At 41.1% G+C, this 23033-nt stretch overlaps 1 protein-coding gene across 7 annotated transcripts in view; it reads left to right on the top strand.

Moving 5' to 3' along the window:
• Positions 1 to 20002, top strand: part of SERPINE2 (serpin family E member 2) — a 64242-nt gene extending 44240 nt beyond the window's left edge. For 3 of the 7 annotated variants that reach the window (NR_073116.2, NM_001136528.2, XM_017004332.3), the window contains 6 exons: positions 3047 to 3244; positions 10097 to 10295; positions 12266 to 12366; positions 14650 to 14736; positions 17420 to 17503; positions 19143 to 20002. Coding sequence is in view for 6 of the 7 variants with exons in the window: in NM_001136528.2 (NP_001130000.1) it covers positions 3047 to 3244; positions 10097 to 10295; positions 12266 to 12366; positions 14650 to 14736; positions 17420 to 17503; positions 19143 to 19180 (707 nt within the window). In the remaining variant the exon portion in view is untranslated. 7 annotated transcript variants of the gene reach the window in all.

The raw sequence follows: 23033 nt of genomic DNA, 5'->3' as shown, positions 1-23033 counted from the left end.
TTCCCTGGTTAAGGCCAACTCATTTCTGTACCATACCATGAGTGGCAGGCATGAACATTAAAAGCACACATTCTGAGTTTGAATCTCGGTTCTGCCACATACTACCTGTATAACCTTGGGCAAGTTATTTAAGCTTGCTTTGCATCAGCATTCTCGTCTGTAAAATGGAGAGATGTAATAGTGATACCTATTCAAATAATTCTAACAACAATTAAGGCTGGTGTGAGGATGTGAATAATACATAGAAAGCATTTAGCAAAGGACTCTGCACTTAGTAAATGTTCAACCAGTGTGAGCTATTTTTATAGCCATTTCTGAGGTACTGTCCATCTCAGACCTCACCAACTAGGTCAGGTCACCTTCTTAGCCCTCCATAGCCTTGAGTAATTCCACTTCCAGATATTTATTTAAATTGCAGCTGTATACTTTTCCAAGTTATTTTATGTCAGCCTGCACCTCTCTCTCATTCGTAGTTTTTGAGACCAGATTTCCTTCTTGGTTTCTTATTTAAGAGAGTACCAGGCACATGGTAGGCAGGTAGGTATCCAAGGATGGATGGATGGATGGACGGACGGATGATAGATGCATGTCTGTGGCAGTTACTGATGGCAGGTTTCCATGTGCCTCTTTGCCTCTAAACTATGCATTTTCTTTTTATTTCTTCATGTCCCCTTATTATATCTTAGTCCTCCCAGGGGCAGTTGGAGGCATTATTTGTCTCTGTAAAAAGGGGCTAAGGACATTTCTACAGACAGTTATTGAGCACTGCCTGTATGCTCCATGTAGTGCTAGGAGTAAGCAAAAAGTGAATGGCAGAGTCTCATGCAGGTCTCAGTGTAGCTGAGGGAGACAGACACATTAAAATTGGCTAGAATAAAATACTGCAGGTGTCATGGTGGGGCCAGGCATTGGGCTTTACAGAAATCGGGAGCAGAGACATCTCTTAGGAGGTGGCGAGGATGATCAGAGAAGATTTAGAAGTCCAGGGGACCATTGAGCTATGTCTTAAAGGCAAGTAGGAATTGAACTGGGTAATGTTCCCAGCAGAGGCAAGAAACAACATTCACTATTAGGAAGTCAATTATGAGCTTGCTAGTGGGATGGCATAAAGTTCTAACTTCGCTCCCACAGGACAGTCTGTTTGCAGCCAGCTTTGTGTTGAGTTGAATGATGTCTGTTTATGGCTTAGATATTTTCCTTCTTTGTCCTGACTTAAGGTGGCGTTAGTGCCCCCTTGTGGAAGTAGTGAGTGGTGATGGAACTGTCTTAGCAGCACGCTGTGGGAAACTTCAGTGTTTATTTATCATGATTTATGTAAACACTTGTTTACTGTACATCAGAATCCTCTTGAGTTTCATTTAAAAGGACTTAATACTCTCACCCCTGAATTAGATATTCTTGCTTCTTCAAAAGCTGTTGGTTTTACTCTCACCATTTAAAGTAGTATAACTTGTATTTATATTATGTATTTATACACATACACACATACACACACACACACACACACACACACACATATATTTGAGCTAATAATGCAGTGAACTAAGTTTTAATAGCTTTGGGCATTACTGATCCCTATTTAAAAACACACATACATACAGACACACACACAACTGAACCTTCAAAGACCTCAGAATAATTGTGAAGCTAACTGTATAATAACTGTATAATAAAAGGAAGCTAACTGGAAGACCAAACCTTCAGCCACAGGTAGCATTTTGGAAGGCTCTTTCAGCCACGGGTAGCATTTTGGAAGCATCCTGAAATGAGAAGAATTGTGTTCACTCCTTCACTCCTGATACAAGTAAGACGGACCATTCCCAACGTCTTGTAAAGAGCATTTTCCTTCAAAATTAGGAGTTCTAGGACAGACCTTAATTTTTTCTGTCTTTTTAAAGATTTATTTTATCTTATTTTTTTTAGAGACAGGGTCTCATTCTGTCACCCAGGCTGGAGTGCAGTGGTGCAGTCATAGCTCAACACAGCCTCGAACTCCTGGGCTCGGGCGACCCTCCCACCTCAGCCTCCCAAGTAGCTGGGATTACAGGTGCATGCCACCATACCCAGCTGGCTAATATGTTTTTAATTTTTATTTTTTCTAGAGATGGGGTCTAGCTATGTTTCCCAGGCTGGTCTCAAACTTCTAGCCTCAAGTGATCCTTCCTCCTCGGCCTCCCAAAGTGCTGGGATTACAGACATAAGCCACTGTGCCTGGGCTTTATTTTATTTTTCATTGACCCATAATAATTGTACATATATGGGGTACAGTGGTAATGCTTTGATACATGTATACAATGTGTAATGATCAAATTAGAGTAATTAACATTTCAGTTACCTCAAACGTTTCTCATTTCTTTATGGTGGGAACATTCAAAATCCTCTCTTCTGTTGTCTCTAATATTAGCACCTTGCTTGATGCCTGACCCATAAACAAAGACACTGATTTTTTGTTTCCTTTCTTCTTTAAGCAGTTAGGAGGCCTTGTGATACCCAGAGATTCCAAAATAATGTTTGATGTTTCTAAAATCTTAAGAGAAATGAAGCATTCACCCTTAATAACATACAGGCTGAAGTGTTTATTTTTGACTGGGATTGAATTAAACCAAGTGGAGCAAAACAAAACAAAATTGTTTATCTTGTACTGACCAGAAACCCTTACTATCAGTCATTTATTGGCAAAAAAAAGAAAAGAAGAAGAAGAAATAATTCATTATCAAATGTAGCTTATTTGGATGAGTAAGATTTTTTTAAAGCCTGGACTTGCAGGGAATTGATAATAAAAGAATTTCTTGATGAAAAGTTTTGTAACCCCTAGCTAGGGGTTTCTAAAGTCTTTTCTGTTTCTCTTTTAACTTCTTTTTAACTTTAATATTTAGTGGGGGAGGGGAACCTAGAAAGTACAAAAGGGTAGTTTAAGAAGATTCTCTTTAACACTCCTTAAAAATCCTTTGATTTTTCAGTCTACCTGATGACAGCTGCCATTTGCCCTCAAGCCGGCCACCAGTCCTGAGGTTATTTTTCCCTTGTTTGTTCTTTGGCTTCACAGATATGATTGACAATCTGCTGTCCCCAGATCTTATTGATGGTGTGCTCACCAGACTGGTCCTCGTCAACGCAGTGTATTTCAAGGGTCTGTGGAAATCACGGTTCCAACCCGAGAACACAAAGAAACGCACTTTCGTGGCAGCCGACGGGAAATCCTATCAAGTGCCAATGCTGGCCCAGCTCTCCGTGTTCCGGTGTGGTGAGTTCATGCTCAGCGAAGCCTGTTCTAGGATGTGCTGGCGGCAGAAAGGCCCTTGAGTGCTTTAACTTAATTCCAGAGCAAATCTAACTTTTCATCTTTTAAAAAACTGGGGAACAGAGCAGGGTGCTGAGAGGCAGGATTTTTATAAAGCTCATGTAAATCTGTGTTATGTACAAAAGTTACCATGCATAGCATAATATGCATAATATATGCATAAGTTATGTACAAAAAGTATTAATGCATGGCGTGTGTAGTAGGCTTTTTGGTTGAAAACTTAAAGATGAAAGGACAATTCATGAAATGAGTATAAGTGAGCATTAAACACAGCAACTCATTAGCAGTCTTACATTACCAAATTAAAAATTGGATTTCTTTTTTTACTTAGCAGATCAGCAAAAATTAAAAACATTGGTAAAATCCTTCGGTGGCTTTGGTGGGGAGGAAGCAGGACCCTTGGGCACTGTTCGTGGCAGGGATCTGTGGTCCGAGGACTTCCTCGGGGTCCTGGCTCCAGCAGTCCCGCTCCAGGGAATTTATACTGTGAACATAAGCACACAATGACAAATAAATAGAAGCCAAATACAAATATACAGTGGAACGTATGTGATCATGAGACTTAGATTTATATAAATGGAAAGATTATGCAATATATGATTGATTTCAGAAAACGAGATATAAAACAGCAGATATCAATCTCGCTTATGTAAAATTCTTTTCTTTATATTCACACGTCAATAGAGATAGGTCTCAGAGGATCTTCAGTAAAAAATATTAATGGTAGGATTTCAGAAAAATTATTTCTGAATTTGAAAAAACTTTTTCGAGATAGAGTCTCACTGTGTTACCCAGGCTAGACTACAGTGGCACAAACATGGCTCACCGCAGCCTCGACCTCTTGGACTCAAGCTATCCTCCCACCTCAGCCTCTCATGTAGCTGGGATCACAGGCATGCACCACCACGGCCAGCTAATTTTTTTACTTTTTGTACAAATGGGGTTTTGCCACGTTGCCCAGGCTAGTCTTGAACTCCTGGGCCTAAGTGATCCACCTGCCTTGGCCTCTCAAACTGCTGGGATTACAGGCATGAGCCACCGCACCAGGCTCAAATGAACTTCTAAAATCACTTTGCCTGGGATATGAGCCGGTGGCCGTGTTAGTGTTTCAATGAAGTGATTTTATTTTAGGTCAATCTTTTGTACACACTTTATAGTCCATAAAAAAATAAAATAAAAAGTGAGGGGGCCCTCATTTACTGTATGTTTCTCTTGCTGAAAAAAAAAACAAGTTAATAGTTCAAGATTAAAATGCAAGGATTCCATTAACATTCCTATGGAAGATTTTAAAATGTTTGTTTTTACAGAAATATAACATGAATTTCTTGAGTAAACAGGCTATTCCCAGAGAGTTACATGTCAGGGTAGCTTTTCATTTGGAAACTGATTTGCCTAGGAATATACATGTGTGTTTTATAGAAAATAATGCACAAATACATTCTTATTGTCAAAGATTTAAACCCTACAGAACCCCCACAGTGTGTTGGTATCTTCCCTCCACTTTCCCCGATTCATGCCTCTCTTCTTTACCCGCTTCCACCCTGCTCTGGGCCCCCTTGCCCTCTCTCTTCTTGCTGGGTTTGCTGCTGGGAGTCTGCAGGCGATAGGAAGGACAGAGGAGAAAGGGGTCAGGGTACTAACTTCCCAAGCCCCCCCTTACAGAGTCATGGGCCAGCTGCATTCCTCTACCAAAGGTTTCAGCTTCTGCCAGGGGGTGTGCCCAAGAGCTCTTTCTCTCTGGGTCACCACCCCTCTCTTCCTCCCTCCCAGCCCAAGGCTAGCCATGGTGCCCACCGTTTCTTGTCCAGGGTACTGTCCATCATGTTTCTCTGTATCCTGTCTATGCTTTACAACTGGTCCTTCATCAAATTCTGCTTAAATGGCCCAATTTGATGTCTTATCTGTTTACTCTCCACCCTGACTGATCTGTACCTAATTCGGACCAGAAAAAGAAAGTCCGCTGCTCACTCCTGTTCTCATTCCCTCACAAGTAAACACGGCGAACAGCTTAGCTCACCCTTCTCACCCTCCTTTCCATGCCTGTCATCAGGTTTCACTGAGGAACCTGGAACTGGATGCGACTCTGTTCTGGGCCATGCAGCAGGGCATGAGAGTGTCATAAGTTCCCTGTTTTCTTGCCTTGGCCAAAACCCAGCTTATCATGATAAGATAGGGAAGGATTGTCTTGACAGGGCTGTGAAGAAAGTACCGCCATTTGTGGTGTCCCCAAGTGGCTGATTGTTTCCATTTCCACAGACTGTCCGTCATTTTCTGCCTGTTTCCTCACTCTGACCTGCAGGAGTGGCCCAGCTCGAGCTGCTGTGTCCAAACTCACAGGGCCCAGGGTGCCACCTGTCGGATGCTTCCTGGGCCTCAGCCACGCCTCACTATTCTGGGTCACTTTGCCAAAACATTGTCATTCAGTTTATCTGCCTTCTTGACTGTTTTCCCCAAGATATCATTAAGAGCTCTGAGAATATTTGCTTGATAACAAAAAGAGAGTGAAAACTAGAAGAGAAGAAAACCCTTCTGATTTATGCCCCATAAAGTAGAAGTACTTCAAGGGTAGAAACTTTTCTATTAAGAAAAAGAGAAGCCTTAAAATCATTTTTAGTAGATTTATATTTCATGCTCATTGCAAAATCCTCAGTATACCTCCATGTACAATATATATGGCAGAAACCAAAAGTTCCCCTAAAATCCTATTTCCTAGGATAAAATTCCCTATTAAGTATCAAGTTTGTCATTTGAGAACCTTTCTAGGTATATGTAAAATATGTCTATGAAACTTTTTACATACATAGGATTGTACTGTAGTTTCTGTTCTATAATCTGCTTTCATTAGAGAGTGGACAACTTTTTGTGCCAATTCATAAGGATTTACTTGATCCTTTTATCAGCCACATAATATTCCATAATACAAATGTATCATGCTATCCTATGGAAAGCCATCTGCTTTTTTCCTATAACAACACTGCAGTGAGTATTCTTGTACATAGGTTTTTCAATATTTGCATCAGTAAATTTCTAAAGGTAATTTCCTGGGATAGGAATAGGAATGGAATAGGAATCTCCAAGTCATAGTTGTTACAAATGTTTTATGGTTATGAATTTAGACATTTGAGACTTTATTTTGGAAAAAAAACATGAAGAATAACAAATTTATATTTCCATCTTCTTTTCTCCTGAGTTTCTAACTCATACCTGTCTGTTCACATTACGTCTTAACTTGGTTGCCTACTAAATTCTAGTTGCATAGATGAAACTCATTTATGCCAAGGCACCATGGCACACACCTGTAATTCCAGCACTTTGGGAAGCTGAGGCAGGAGGATGGCTTGAGCCTGGGAGTTCAAGATGATCCTCGGCAACATAGCGAGACCCTGTCTCTACAAAAAAATGTTTAAAAATTAGCCAGGCATGGTGGTGCTCACCTGTGGTCCCAGCTGTTTGGGAGTCTGAGGTCGGGGGTTCACTTGAGCCCAGGATGTTGAGATGCAGTGAGCCCTGATCACATCACTGCTTTCCAGCCTGGGGAACAGAGCAAGACCCTGTCTCAGTAAATAAATATATGTATTGCCCTTGCCCATTTAGTTCTCAACCCATCGTTCCTTAGCAGCAAATGGCACCAATACTCACCCAGTTACTTACGCCACCCCTCCTTCCCCAGCTACTGTCCCCGAACTCCCTTTGGACTCCAGCCTAGAATGTAGAGTATTGCACACGATGGAGCATTTTGCTGTTGTTTTTCCAAAATATCCATTTCAATTTCTACTAAAGTGCAGTCTAAAAAGTTTCTTAAGTCCTCAGGAAATCCATATTTACTTGTAGTAGAAGGTAATTAGAGGGACTTTCATCTATAAAGGTTTCCTGATATTAAATATTTAAGATACCCTCTTTGATTTTACAGTGTGAGCTCTTAACATTTCAGTGAGCCTAGTTACGTCTTCCCTAGTAGCACTTAAAGTGGAAATCAGATTACTTCAGGGGCTTTCTGGAAAAACTGGGTCACCCAAAACACCACTTAGAGAAAGTTCTAAATCTCCTCCACATTTTTAATGCTTGATTCTTCACTTATTGTCTCCCATTAGAAGTTTTGTTGACCACCATTCATCTAAGAGAAAATCCTTATTTTCTCTTTTTCACCTCCGCTCCTTTTCAGAATGAATCAACCTATTATACTTACGTTTTTATACACTGCAGAAATGACCCTTGTTAAAGAATACTCAGTCTGCCTTCCAGAGGTTAAAGAATAGAGAGCATCGGGTAGGGGATTTTAAAGGGAAAAGCTCTGGGACGATGAGAGGCTCCATGCTCTGACACAAGGCTCCCAAGTCCCCTTCCTTACTTGATTCATTCTGCTTGGGAGTTGTGCTTTTATCAGCTACGTAATATTCCATGTAGTTTACCTGGGTGGGCCGATTTTGTGTTTAGACTGTGAGCAGGGACCTCACATTGCAAGAAGTGAGGTATTTTACAAAGCTTCTTACATCAAAAGACGGCAGTTTTTGCTATGGGCCAGCTTATGCTGAGCACTTTGTATGTGTTGTCTCAATGAATTTTCATAGCTCTGTAAAGTAGGTGCTATTATTGTAGGCTTTTACAGATAAAGAAACTAAGACTTGGAGTCAAGGAACTTGCCAAAGTCTCAGAGCTAGTGTGCTACAAGTGCAGGATTTGAATACAGGTCTTATAACCCCAGATCTCGTGGCTTTGGCACGTGTCCTCTATAAAAGGATGCAGTACTTGAGTGACCAGGTAGAAAGACAGAAAAGGTGTTATTTTATCTCCCAGCTCCTCAAGGCACCAAATAAAGGTAAGCATGCGTATGTCTGATGCACCCTGGCTACCACTGGTCATCAGCTTCTGTGGTCAGAAGCAGAAGGAGTGGGGGGAAATCAGTCATCAAGCAGAGGTGACTGGATGCGGTTCATGGTTATTAATATTACTGATCAGTTAATAATGGGTCCAGCCAAGGATGGATTAACTGGTGAAGCTAGATGATCTCTCTCCTCCCTTGAACACATTCCAGCTCATAACTTTTCATTATTCATTACTTCAATCCTCCTTAACAGAAATAGTAAACATTTCTAGAAGCAGTTAACACCTCCAGGTCCTTATTTCATGCCCTGGAGCAATCACTTATTAACCACTTCCCATATTTCACAGTTTCTGAAAATTAGCTCCGCCAGAATAGAGATTTAATGTTTTCTTCAAGGATTAAAGAGCTCATTAGGAAGTGATTTTTTTCTCACTTTCCCATTGATTTTTCCGTTTCTGCTGAGACCATTTTGTTATGCAGGCTAAGAGTAAAGACGAAGAATCCTCTCTTTCATTCTTAGGTTGCCGCAAGACAGAAGCCAGGCTTGGGTGAGAGTTCAACACACATGGGAGCTGAGGCGAGCTGCACCCGGGTTACTGAACAGCCCTGCAGGAAATGCAGTGTGCTAGGACCAGGAGAGCCCCAGTTCCTCTGCCAGTTCTCTATGTTGTTTCTTCCTTAGGGAAAAACTGTAGTGTCATCCTGTGGTGCCATATATTCTAATAACCTCAGTATTTTTATGATATTTCAGTGTTCATCAAGTACACTCTCTTTCCCTCTCTTGGTATCTTTCTCTTCATCTCTCCCTCTGTCCATCCCTCCCAACCCTGTTCTATGGAGAACTGGCATATTGAAGTTCCCTGTCTCAAAGGCAGTGATTGGCACATGTCATCTCCAAAGAAAAGATCAGTGAAAATCGTGCAAGAAACTTGCTTTCTCTCTTCTTGTTTGCTGAACTCCCTAAGATGTGGAATCTGTTTTGTCTATAGAGCATCTTGCAGGTAGACTGTTCTCCAAATAACATTTGAGAAATGCTGGCTTAAATTATTCTTGGGTTTTCATTAGTAAGTAGAAGTACCATAAAGTATCTAAAACTCCAGTGGTGATTACTGGAATGGGTGAAGAGTGAATAGGGCAGGGTGGTGAAGTAGGAGGAAGACAATCCTTGGCATTAGACTCTCCTGGCTCCTCACTTCTTAGCCGTGCATCCTTTGGAGGTTACTTCATTTCTCTAAAGGTGGCTTTCTCAACTGCAAAATAGCACTGCTTACGCCTACCCCGTGAGGTGCTGTAGATCCTCAGCCTGTTGAAGGGTTGATATGGGCCTGGCACAGAGTGAGCCCTGTGGATGCTCTGTATCCCTGTCTCTCTTCACCTGCACATGTAGGCTTATCCAAAATGAGGACTAGAGGTAATAAAATTGCACCATGTTGGGATTCCTGCTCAATGAGTAAATTTTAGCCGCTCTTGTCCCAAAAACAGCAAAATGGGTAATTATGTGAGATAATGGATATGTTAATTTGCTTTTTCATAGTAACTATTTTACTATCTATATGTATCCCATAACGTCATATTGTGTACCTTAATATACACAATACACTTTATTTAAAAAAAAAAAAAAAAGGAATGATTCTAAGGCAGCTTGAATGTATTCTTTTATTCATGTGAGGGTCAACTTCTTGCAAAGCACTGAATTTTAAGCACTTTGTGATTTAGTTAAATTCTCCTTAACAGAATTAAAGTGATTTCAGTGATTCCCAAAGGCATTCTGTCTAGACTGAAGAAAGGAGAATTCTTCACTGGGGAAGGAAGAAATAATTGTCCTTGTCTTTGTCCTTCTAAGGAAGCTATTTGTGGAAAAGGGAAGTTCTCCAACTGAGTTGCTCTCTGAAGCTATCCCGGTGACCAGCAAGCACTCATCCTGCTTCTAGAAGTCAACAAGGATACACTGAACCTGCTTCTGATTTCTTTAGGGTCGACAAGTGCCCCCAATGATTTATGGTACAACTTCATTGAACTGCCCTACCACGGGGAAAGCATCAGCATGCTGATTGCACTGCCGACTGAGAGCTCCACTCCGCTGTCTGCCATCATCCCACACATCAGCACCAAGACCATAGACAGCTGGATGAGCATCATGGTGCCCAAGAGGGTGCAGGTGATCCTGCCCAAGTAAGTGGCCCCTTCCCCTCAAAGAAAACAGTGGCATTATTCAATCAGCAGGTGTTATGTCGGACACCAGACAACATGAGGCGAAAATATGGCACATCATGAAGCCTGTTCTGTTCTGCAGAAATTTCATGGTGGGATTACGAGGCCGTGCTTTTCTAAACGCTTTTATTCAATGCCTGTGCTTCCTGTATGGTAAGATATGGATCATAAGAAAGGAGAGAGGGCAACCTTGGTCTCTAAACCTCCACATGAGCATAAGCAGTTCATGGTACTGCAGGGGCTTTTTGACATATCTCATTGTATTTAAAAGACTGAAAACACACGTGTGTCATCATAGTATGGATGAAAGTACAGTGAGGTTTAATAGAACTCCATGTGCTTTCATAAGGAGCTTCATTTTAGTTATTTATTTATTTAACTAGAAGTTCATGAAGACCAAGGCAGCCAGTTTTTCTATTATACCCTAAGAGTAAGACAAAGATGGAATTTGAGCTGTTATGACTTGAAGCCATGGGAAAAGTAACCCCAAATCCTGTATGAATCTTCATGTTCTAACAGGTCAGAGAATGCTTTGTCCAGAACTGTGAAGAAGCAATGAATGTTGTTCCCTTTCTATGAACTTTTCAACATTGCTGCCTTCCCACCATCCAGAGCTTTTAACAACCCAGGTCTTGGTGGTAGTGGAGAGTTCTAATAGCTTTTGATTCTTTGGTCACCGAGTTAAGTAATCAGAGTAAGACATTCACAATAAGTATTACTAATTCTCTCAAGATTTTTTTTTTTTGTAAAATAAGCCTTCAAGTAGGCAATGCTTGATATAAATAAATAAATAAGATGGTGGCATCGTAGGCCTCAATGGGTGAAGAACAGGTTCTTTACCATTATAGCCCATCTGTGGTGAGAATCTGCCCACGTCTCCTTAGTGCTCTTCCACAGGATGAGATCAAATCTGATAAAGCATCCTCTGATGACAGTAACTGACATTTACACACACACACACACACACACACACACATATACACACATATATATACGTGTGTGTGTGTGTGTGTGTGTGCATATATCTCCATATATCCCCAAGGCCAAGTAGGTCACAAATATTCAAGAAACCTATATTATACCCAAATATAATACCGTGTCACCTATGCCTAATCTTTGCTCCTGTTTTAATAGTAAAATACTTTCAGAATCTCAAAAGGGGCTGGGCGTGGTGGCTCACACCTGTAATCCCAACACTTTGGGAGGCCGAGGTGGGCGGATCACGAGGTCAGGAGTTCCAGACTAGCCTGGCCAACATGGAAAAACCCCGTCTCTACTAAAAATATAAAAAATTAGCCAGGCATGGTCGTGGGTGCTTGTAATCCCAACTACTTGGGAGGCTGAGGCGGGAGAATTGCTTGAACCCAGGAGGCAGAGGTTGCAGTGAGCCAAGATTGCACCATTGTCCTCTGGCCTGGGCCACAGAGCAAGACTCTGTCTCAAAAAAAAGAATCCCAAAATGAACTATCAGGAATGTTTCTCCTCTCTTTTGACCATCTCCAATCCCAATAAGGATGGCAGGTCTTAGAGCAGCCAAGATGGATATGGAGAACTTTAGTTGGATATGGGGAAGAATAATAGATATTCCAGAGTACTAGGAACTTGTTAACACTCAACCTCCACGTCAGTATAAAAGAAAGTATGTTTGTAGATCTTCCTAAGTATTGGAACAGGGGGCCCATTACACCTGAGGGTGGGAGCGCCTATTCTTGCCGTTAGTACATATGACTCATTTTGCCAGCTAAGTGTTTGAGAGAGGAGTTGTCCTTTACTTATCTGGTATTTAAATTTGGAATTCAAATTTAAGATGCAATTCAGATCGGTATTCAGATATTAACTTTAAAAGAATCAGTTTGTAAACATGCACCGACTCTATCATGTAGCATTTATAGCCTCGTGATTTTTTTTCTCCATTTCTGCTTTCATGCTAGGTTCACAGCTGTAGCACAAACAGATTTGAAGGAGCCGCTGAAAGTTCTTGGCATTACTGACATGTTTGATTCATCAAAGGCAAATTTTGCAAAAATAACAAGTATGTTCAATTTAAAATGTATTTGTATACTTGAAGAAAGTGTTACAAACTGAGACTGATTTGTGCAGAGAAAAAGGATCAGAATTAGGAATGTGTTGCCCTGAAACTGTACAAGGTTTCATTTGATACATTGCCAAATTATGCTATTGGCCTTCGTTTATTTATTGACCTTCATTTATTTATTTTTTCCTTTTATCTTTTTATTTCAATAGTTTTTGGGATACAAGTGGTTTTTGGTTACATGGATCAGTTTATATAGCGATGAAGTCTGAGATTTTAGTACACCCCTCCCCCGAGTAGTATACGTTGTACTCAATATGTATTAATAGATTTTTAGCTCCTCACCAACCCACCCTCCTCCTTCTGAGTCTCCATAATCCATTATACCACTCCGTATGCCTTTGCATACCCGTAGCTTATCTCCCACTTACAAGCGAGAACATACAGTATTTGGTTTTCCATTCTTGAGTTACTTCATTTAGAATAATGGCCTCCAGCTCCATTCAAGTTGCTGCAAAAGATATTATTTCATTCTTTTTATGACTGAGTAGTATTCCATGATGTGTACATACCTCATTTTCTTTATCTAGTCATTGCTCTTGACCTTCATTTAAATCAGCGTCCCCACATTTTGCACGTACATTTCATGGGAAGCCCCAGTGACTACCTAAAGGAGTATTTCATGTATTGCTTTTATGAATATTGGCTCTGACTTAGGTGTTGTCGCTCTGTTTTCAAATGCCAACTTTTTCCTTTTGCTTGAAAAAAAGTCAAGACTGCAGTCATTCACTGTACCCAGATATGTATTTTGGCATTTCATGCTCATTAATATGAAACGATATAAATTCAAATGAATCTGATTAAAACTTTCCTTTGCCAAAGCAATTAAGGCATGCTTTTCATTTGCCAGCAGTATATGTACCTTTTTCTAGAGTTATGTTTGAATGGTCAGTCCTTTGTTCTTTAAATTTAGAACATAGCAATCTTTCCAAGGAAAAGCCATGGCTTGAACATTATTTGCACTCCAGTTTGCAAATAACTTTGAGTGGTAAGAAATTAGCTCATTACCAGCTTCAGTTGCATGCTAGTAAACACCTAGTACCTGTTCTGGGGACAAACATGACTCCCCTGGTGAACCTGCAGCTCCATGGATATTCTGATAGCCGTTCATCCCTCATGACTCAAACTCAGGCCTCCAGCCCAGCAGCATTAGCATCACCCAGGAGCTTGTTTGAAATGCACAATCTTGGGTGTAACCCAGACCCACTGAACCAGAATCCATTTTAACACAGTCCCTCAGCCCAGCAAAGACTGAGAAGCACCATTTTCATCTGCACTTTTCCCTTCAAGGTTGTTCATGGTAGCTGAAATACTAAATGGGGGGTGTTCACAGGAAGAACCAGGTGCCCCAGATTCTCCTGGAAAGTCCTCTTTAACACTGCATGTGACTTGGGCCCTATAAATGTGCATCTCAGTCACAATTTGGTCATATTAGAGCTGGGCATTGGTGCAGATAGTTCACAAGCAGATGACACAAAAAGCACATTTTCCCTTTGCATCCAGACCTATGTCCCATCCAGACTAATATCAACTTAAGTTTTTCATTCTCTGTGAAAGCTACACCCAGTGGGTGTTGCTGGAATGGTCAGAATTTGCTGAGAAGTAAAGTGAGTTCACCAGAATGTCCCTGAGGCACAACTGCATTTACACATCGGCCCTTCCAGGAAAATCTAAACTCTTCTCTTGTTCGACACTCTTCTCTTACTAGCATGCCCATGAGATGAGTGGCTGTTGTGAAGAGCCAGGACTTACTCTGCCACTAACTAGCCGTATGATTGCAGGGAACATTACTTAACGTTCTAGGCCTCAGTTTCCCCATCTGTAAATGCTGTCTGAAATCCCTTCTGCATCTGCATTCTGTAACTGAAAAATAATCTTGTTGCCTTGCTGCTTCCAGAAAACCGGGCTTCCTTTTTAAAGCTCTGCTCTTTTCATTTTTAAAAAACAATTCTAGTGATCAGAATTGAATTGATAGAGGCACTAAATCATTTGAGGGCCTGGGCCCTTCTCCAGAAGTGAGTATCACAGTTCACTTAGCAGGGACTGAAATTCACAAGTAACAGCTGTCTGCAGCCTTCAACACCAGGACTGTCAGAGGTCATGTCTTCTGACACTTTAAAAATTGGAATTTGCCATGGCTTTGAGCTTTGAGGTTACTTCCCCAACCAACCAATGGCCTGCCTATCAAACAAATGCTGATACTGTTTTATTTTCTGGAAGCAGGGTCAGAAAACCTCCATGTTTCTCATATCTTGCAAAAAGCAAAAATTGAAGTCAGTGAAGATGGAACCAAAGCTTCAGCAGCAACAAGTAAGCACTGGGTCACGTGGCAGGGCTTCCTCTAGCAGGGGAGCAAACACATTCCTGTATACTCATTGGTTGAGCAAATATGTAATGCACCCTCTTTCCAGCCAGGCAGTGTGTGTGGGTTAACCCTCAGGAGACAGCAGTGAGTACAGACAGACTGAAGACCTGTAACCACAAAGCTCAGAATCTGTTTCATTAAAGAAAAGCATTTCAGTGAGAGAAATTCCTCTAGGACAGGAGTCAGCAAACTTCTATAAAGAGCCAGGTAGTATGTATTTCAGATTTGTGTGTCATACCATCTCCATTACAGCTTCTTAGCTCTTTCACTGTAGCATGAAAACAGCAATCAACAATACAAGTAAACAGATGTGGCTGTGTTCCAATAAAACTTTATTTATAAAAACAGGATTTGTCCTGGTAGACTTGCCTTGAGGAAAATAGTTTGCTGACCCCTGCTCTCAGGAGGATAAAACATGTTCTGGCTTCTTACTGGCAAAAAAGACCAATCTTCAGATTTGAACATAAAATAAACAACAAGTACTTAAAGGAAAATAGGCAATCAGGTCTATCCAGGATAAACCGAAGAATTCGCCAGCATCTGTTGAATTGCGGCAGGATTGCTGTACAGCCTTCCTTGATAATTAGAACATCCACATCTGCTTCCTCCTCAGTGGTTTACATAATGAAGGAGAAAACAGAACAATCGTAAGTCAGTTTTTTCACCCCTCATTATCCGTAGGAAAATAGATGAATAGATTTGGCCAACTCTGTGAGCCCATAAAGTGAAAATCTTAGCTACACTTGCAGCTGGGTCAAATATCTCTGGTCATTGAAACATACCAGTTATACTCACAATAGATGTGTTATTGCCTTTCTCGAATAAACGTTTTAAAAATTCCTTTAAAGAAGCATTTAAAACAAAGACCCTGAAATAAGAGGGTTGGAAATTTTAAGATGCTTTTTGTCTTTTCTAGGTAATTTTAAGTAACATCTAAAAGTTATTGACCAGTTTTGCTGAGTGTAACTATCAGGACCAGCTACATAGTTTGTGGGGTCCTGTGCCAAATGAAAATATGGAGCCCCTTGTTCAAAATGTATAAGAATTTCAAGATAGCAACAGCAGAGTATTAAACCCAGTGCAGGGCCCCATGTAACCGCCCAGGTCCTCCTGTCTTAGTCCGCCTGGGCTGCCATGACAAAATACCGTTGACTGAGTGGTTTAAACAACAGAACTCACACTTCTGGAGGCTGCGAGTTCAAGATCAAGGTGTTGGTGTTGGCAGGTTTGTTTCTCCTGAGATCTCTGGATCTCCGGAGGTCGCCCCCTCCCTGTGTCCTCACATGGTCTTTTCTCCATGTGACACATCCCTGGTGTCTCTCCCACTTCAAATAAGGGCAACGGTCCTATTAGAATAGAACCCTACTTAACCTTCATTACCTCCTCAAAGGCATTATCTCCAAATACAGTTACGTTAGGGGTTTGGGGCTTCAGCATATGAATTTGGGGGGAGACACATTTCAGTCCATAACACCTGCTATTTAATATTTGTTTTTAATAACCCTGGGTAAAAGGGCTTGCCCCAGCATAACTGCAGCTGTTTCCTTTATAACATCAAGCCCAAGTGTTCAATACTTCATGGGGTTTGAGCAAGAGGACTGAGCTATTGCAACAGGCATGTGGTAGTAATGCCACACACCTACCCTCCCGTGAGGCCCTGGTTCAGGCTTATTAAATGGAAACAAGCCTGGCAGACGAGGAATGGCCAAGACCCATGAGGCTAAAGAAGTTTGCTTTCCAAGTCAGATGCCTACACCTGGTGAGTGGAACAGCAGTATAAGGTAGTAGGTCCCGGATGAGTGGTCTACATTCCAGTGCAGAGGAAACCTAAATAATGTGCCAAAGGAGAAGGCACAGACACAAAAGCTAAGAATTGGACTGGGCCTTTATATACAGAAAAGATTTAGAGAAGCTAAACAGGACCAGGGGTCGGGCGCGGTGGCTCATGCCTGTAATGCCCGCACTTTGGGAGGCTGAGGCAGGTGGATCACTTGAGGTCAGGAGTTCAAAACCAGCGTGACCAACATAGTGAAACCCTGTCTCTAAAAATACAAAAATTAGCCAGGCGTGGTGGTGCATGCCTGTAATCCCAGCTACTCAGGAGGCTGAGGCAGGAGAATCGCTTGAACCCGGGAGGCAAAGGTTGCAGTGAGCCAAGATCGCGCCACTGCACTCCAGCCTGGGTGACAGAGTGAGACTCCATCCCCAAAAAAAAGGACTGGGGGCTTTATCAGCAAAGCAGATGGTGTGAATAAAAAATAGCTAATAACAATAAATATGCATTAGATGTGTTTAGTGGCAAACACTGTTCTAAGAGCTATAATATATCTTATGTCATTTAATTATGTCATTTAATTCTCATCAAAACTCTATGAGGAGTAAGTATGTTTATCAGAGATGGTGCTTGTGTAGAAGACATGAGAGAGTAATGTAAAGGGCCTGGCCCAAGGTAGGCTTAGTAAATGGTGACCATTGAGCCTGTTGTAACATGGCCAGCCTATGGAACAAGCATGAAGTGTGTCTTCAGACACCAGCCTCTGAGGGTCCATGAAGCTAGCTAACTTGCTGGCCTTATGCTTACATGGTCTCATGTAATGTGCACAACACATTTTCCTTTTCTTCCCGTAGCTGCAATTCTCATTGCAAGATCATCGCCTCCCTGGTTTATAGTAGACAGACCTTTTCTGTTTTTCATCCGACATAATCCTACAGGTAAGTGACTCTCCTCTTCCATCATGCCCTCTCTGTTAGAATTTCAAAAGGTATATTGCACTCTTCATTATATCCAACAGTGGTGCCCATAGTCCATTTCCCTAATGTCAATAGTTGCAGACACTTTGAATAATATAACCACCCATGTTAAAGAGATAGGAAAATAAAGGCTGTGTTTACAGATGTGATGGAATCTTTTACACACTGACAGGATTTTAGGTTTTGCGGATTGTTGTTTTTAACAGAGAGGCTCAGCATCCCTTTGGAACACTTTTGACATCTATTGACTTTTCCATATTTATATAAATGTGGTGGTTCAATTTTGCTAGAAGCTATATAACTTCAACTTTTGTGTATTAGTCTGTTCTCACCCTGCTATGAAGAAATACCCTAGAGTGGGTAATTTACAAGGAAAAAGAGGTTTAATTGACTCACAGTTTCACATGGCTAGGGAAGCCTCAGGAACCTCACAATTACGGTGGAAGGCATCACTTCACAGGGCAGCAGGGGAGAGAATGAGAGCCGAGTGAAGTGGGAAACCCCTTATAAAACCATCAGATCTCATGAGAACTCACTCACTATCACAAGAACAGTATGGGGGAAACTGCTCCTATGATTCAGTTTTCTCCACCTGGTCCTGCCCTTGATATATGGGGATTATTAACAATTCGAGGCAAGATTTGAGTGGAGACACAGAGCCAAACCATACCACTTTGTAAGCCCACTCTATTGTTATACCTTGGGAATTGTTAATACAGTAGATTTTTGCTCTGTGAGTCATGGTTCAAACTTGGCTCTGGCCTTAAGCCTCATCTTTAAAATGAGGACAACAGTAGTGCTGACTGCTTATTACAATTATGAAGTATAAGTTCATCTTTGTAGAGAGGTTGGCTTCTTGTTGGTACAAGAGTAGGCACTAATATATTTTAGCTTTTACTATTTTATTTAATCAGTAATATGAGATAGTTCCTTATTCTCTTATCTCATTGCATCTGTGATGTTCTAATTGGCATGCCCCAGAACTGAGCCAGCCAATGAGGAGCTTCTGGCCACATGTGGCTATTTAACATTAACTTTAAAAATTCAATTTCTGGTTGGGTGCGGTGGCTTATGCCTGTAATCCCAGCACTTTGGGAGGCCAAGGCGGGTGGATCACCTGAGGTCAGGAGTTCGAGACCAGCCTGGCCAACATGGCAAAACCCCATCTCTGTTAGAAATACAAAAAATTGGCTGGCAGTGGTGGTGGGTGCCTGTAATCCCAGCTACTTGGGAGGCTGAGGCAGGAGAATTGCTTGAACCCAGGAGGCGGAAATTGCAGTGAGCCGAGATGGCGCCATTGTACTCCAGCCTGGGTGACAGTGCAAGACTCTGTCTCAAGAAATAAAAAATAAAATTAAAATTCAACTTCTAAGTCACACTAGCCACATTTTAAGCACTCTCTGGCCACATGTGACTAGTGGCTACCATGCTAGACAACAAAGATATAGACCATCTCTACCACTGCAGAAAGTTATACTGGACACTACTGAGCAAGAGGTCAAACATGATTGTTTCCCTTCCCTTAAATAGAATACCTTCCATCTTATTTTAAGGATTATTAATTTACAGAGTCATGCATTGTTTTCTTTTAATTCTGTAGGTGCTGTGTTATTCATGGGGCAGATAAACAAACCCTGAAGAGTATACAAAAGAAACCATGCAAAGCAACGACTACTTTGCTACGAAGAAAGACTCCTTTCCTGCATCTTTCATAGTTCTGTTAAATATTTTTGTACATCGCTTCTTTTTCAAAACTAGTTCTTAGGAACAGACTCGATGCAAGTGTTTCTGTTCTGGGAGGTATTGGAGGGAAAAAACAAGCAGGATGGCTGGAACACTGTACTGAGGAATGAATAGAAAGGCTTCCAGATGTCTAAAAGATTCTTTAAACTACTGAACTGTTACCTAGGTTAACAACCCTGTTGAGTATTTGCTGTTTGTCCAGTTCAGGAATTTTTGTTTTGTTTTGTCTATATGTGCGGCTTTTCAGAAGAAATTTAATCAGTGTGACAGAAAAAAAAATGTTTTATGGTAGCTTTTACTTTTTATGAAAAAAAAATTATTTGCCTTTTAAATTCTTTTCCCCCATCCCCCTCCAAAGTCTTGATAGCAAGCGTTATTTTGGTGGTAGAAACGGTGAAATCTCTAGCCTCTTTGTGTTTTTGTTGTTGTTGTTGTTGTTGTTTTATATAATGCATGTATTCACTAAAATAAAATTTAAAAAACTCCTGTCTTGCTAGACAAGGTTGCTGTTGTGCAGTGTGCCTGTCACTACTGGTCTGTACTCCTTGGATTTGCATTTTTGTATTTTGTACAAAGTAAAAATAAACTGTTATGAGTAGTAAAAATAAAGCTATTTCTCTGCTATTTGAAAATACAATAGAAGAAACTGAGCCTTTTAGACATTCGTCAGCCTCTTCTAATAAACCTTTGTACTATGTAAACATCAGGAAATTCAAAGCTCGGAGACTTTTCCTATTCTTTTCCTCTAGACCTGACAATCAAACACTTCCCCGCTTCAACACATCTCATTTTCTAGATCACTTCAACAGAGTAACTATTACAGTAATCCTAGTTCTACTCTTAGCTACATTCACTCCAGCAATGGCTAAGAATTCTCAGCAAAGAAACGGATTTTGTAGCAAGTGCCGAATGAAGTTGCTGGGTACCATGTATTTTGGAACTCCTGGGGGAACAGGAACTGTTTCGTTTTTGGTGATGATAGGCAGGAGTGTTTTTGAAATGACAGGGTTTTTTTGTTTGTTTTTTGTTTTTTTTTTGTTTTTTTCAAGGTAACTTTCCAAGTTGAACTCAAACATCATAATTCTTTTTTTCCTTTTTCTTTTTACAGAGACATGCCTCGCCATCTTGCCTAGGCTAGTCTTGAACTCCTGACCTCAAGTGATCCACCTGCCTCAGCCCCACAAAGTGCTGGGATTACAGGCATGAGCCACTGGCATTCAGCTTACAAATATCATAATTCTGATTTTACCATTTGCCTGCTTTTTAAAAAACTAATTTCTTAAAGATTTATGCAGTCTAAGCTAAATCAGAATTTAAGTTTAAAACATTTATCAAAACTTAAAAACATTTTTTTATTTTTAGCCCTTGAGTTCTACTTGCCTTAAACTATACATTAAAACCTCACATTCGGCACTCCATCAGTTTGCCATTTGGAATTATTATTTGTCAAGTGGGCTGAGCCTTGCTGTTCCCAACTATGTATGTGTACTTTTTTTTTTTTTCTTTTTTGAGACAGAGTCTTGCTCTGTCACCCAGGCTGGAGTGCAGTGGCGTGATCTCGACTCACTGCAACCTCTGCTTCCTGGGTTCAAGCAATTCTTCTGCCTCAGCCTCCCCAGTAGCTGGGAGTACAGGCACGCACCACTGCGCCTGGCTAATTTTTGTATTTTTAATAGAGACAGGGTTTCACCATGTTGGCCAGATTGGTCTCGAACTCCTGACCTCAGGTGATCCCCCTGCCTCGGCCTCCCAAAGTGCTGGGATGACAGGCTTGAGCTACCGCGCCCGGACTACATTTTGATATCTTTAAGTCAATGATCTGTAGGCCTTGTCTTACTTCAAAATGATCAAATTTATGGAACCTCCTTTCCCTGAGGGAAATTGAAATAAATTTAGACTTAGAGACTGCCACAAAAATTACAGGCCTGTGATAGATCATTTTTGCTGTGTAGACATGTTTTTTTTTTCCTAAAACTTTTTTTGAGAAATTTAAAATTCCATTTCCATTTTGACACCTAATAATTTTTTTTTTTTTTTTTTAGAGATAGGGTCTCAGTATGTTGCCTAGGTTGCCCAGGCTGGTCTCAAACCCTTGGACCTCCCAAAATATAGGGATTATAGGAGTGAGCCACTGCACCAGGCCTCTAATCATAATGTTATCTGCAAACATTAACAATGTATTTGGTGTGATGCAGAATGGTGATTTCTCATTTTGCAAATTTCTCATTTAAGTCATACCATCACTCCAAGGTCTCTCAGTTGCCCAGGCTGTAATGCAGTGGTATGATCATGGCTCACTGCAGCCTTGAACTCCTGGGCTCAAGCAGCCCTTCTGCCTCAGCCTCCCGAATAGCTAGGACTTATAGGCACGTACCACCACACCTGGCTAATTTTTTTTAAAAAATTTTTTTGTAGAGATGGGGGTCTTTGCTGTGTTACCCAGGCTACTCTCAAATTCCTGGCCTCAGGCAGTCCTCCAGCCCCAGTATATGGACATGTTTGAGCAAATAATGTATCTTATAGATTAGATGTCACACTGAGTTTGAACAAGAGAGAGGCTGCAGTTTTCCTAAAGTAACAAAATGATAGACGTTTGTTAAAACTGAGACAAACCATCAGTGTAGTCACTCTTTTGACAGGTCATGAGATGGGTACTTCCGATTCTGCCTTGGTCACTGTGGAGGAAGAGAGTAGGTACCGACCCAAATACACTGAAAGCTCTGACTTAGCTGGCCTTTCACTCTGTCCTAAAAAGGAGAGGTGACAGGAAATTTTGAAGCAAAAGAAAATCCCAATCACAACAGAAGTTTACAAAGAGGCCCAAGGGAGTGGCCTTTGTACCGGGAGTGCTGTTTTCTGAAAATGAAAAACTGAATAATACATGAGATTCACATGCAGGGCGGGTACGAAAGAGCAGGGATGCAGGCGTTTCCCCTGGGCCAGCAGAGTAGCAATTGCCCACTTCCTAAGAGTGATCAGTGGTGACAGCTGGGAGAGAGGTGAGAGCTCGGTAAGCTGGGAAGTGACTTCTATGTCCTTGACCTCCTGTGAATGTTGAAAGACACTGTGTCATTTGCCTACTGAGAGTCGGCTTTGGGAGGCCCAAGAGTGGAAGACACTACTGGCTTTAAAGCTCCATTTCTCTGGGGATTCCCAAACTGTGCCTTCGACCATCTCTTAAATCTTGAAGAAAAAGAGAGATGTGATTTAAATGAGAAATTTGCAAAATGAGAAATAGCTGTTCTTCATCACACCAAATGCATTGTTAGTGTTTTCAGATAAAATTATTATTAGGTAGCAAAATGGAAGTGAAATTTTTGATTTCTTGGTGCCATACCTCCTTCATCTAAGTTTATGATCCCACCTTGACCCTCTCTTGAATCTTGAAGATAAAAATAGAGATGGTGTGATTTAAATGAGAAATTTGCAAGATAAGAAATCACCGTTCTTCACACCAAGTACATTGTTAATGTTTGCAGATAACATTATTATTAGGGGCCTGGTGCAGTGGCTCACTCCTATAATCCCAATACTTTGGGAGGCCCAAGGGTTTGAGACCAGCCTGGGCAACCTACTGAGACCCTATCTCTTAAAAAAAAAAAAAAATTATTAGGTGGCAAAATGAAAATGAAATTTTAAATTTCTTAGTGCTATACCCCCTTCATCTGAAGTTTATAATCTCTTGCCAAAGGTAAAGTGAAGAATGGCGGGCCTCCATGCCTATCCTTCCTAGACAAAAAACAATAAA

Source organism: Homo sapiens, chromosome 2, assembly GCF_000001405.40.
Source record: "Homo sapiens chromosome 2, GRCh38.p14 Primary Assembly".
Classification (NCBI taxonomy): domain Eukaryota; kingdom Metazoa; phylum Chordata; class Mammalia; order Primates; family Hominidae; genus Homo; species Homo sapiens.
The sequence above is the reverse complement of the archived record's forward strand: the minus strand, read 5'-3'. Positions and strand labels throughout refer to the sequence as shown.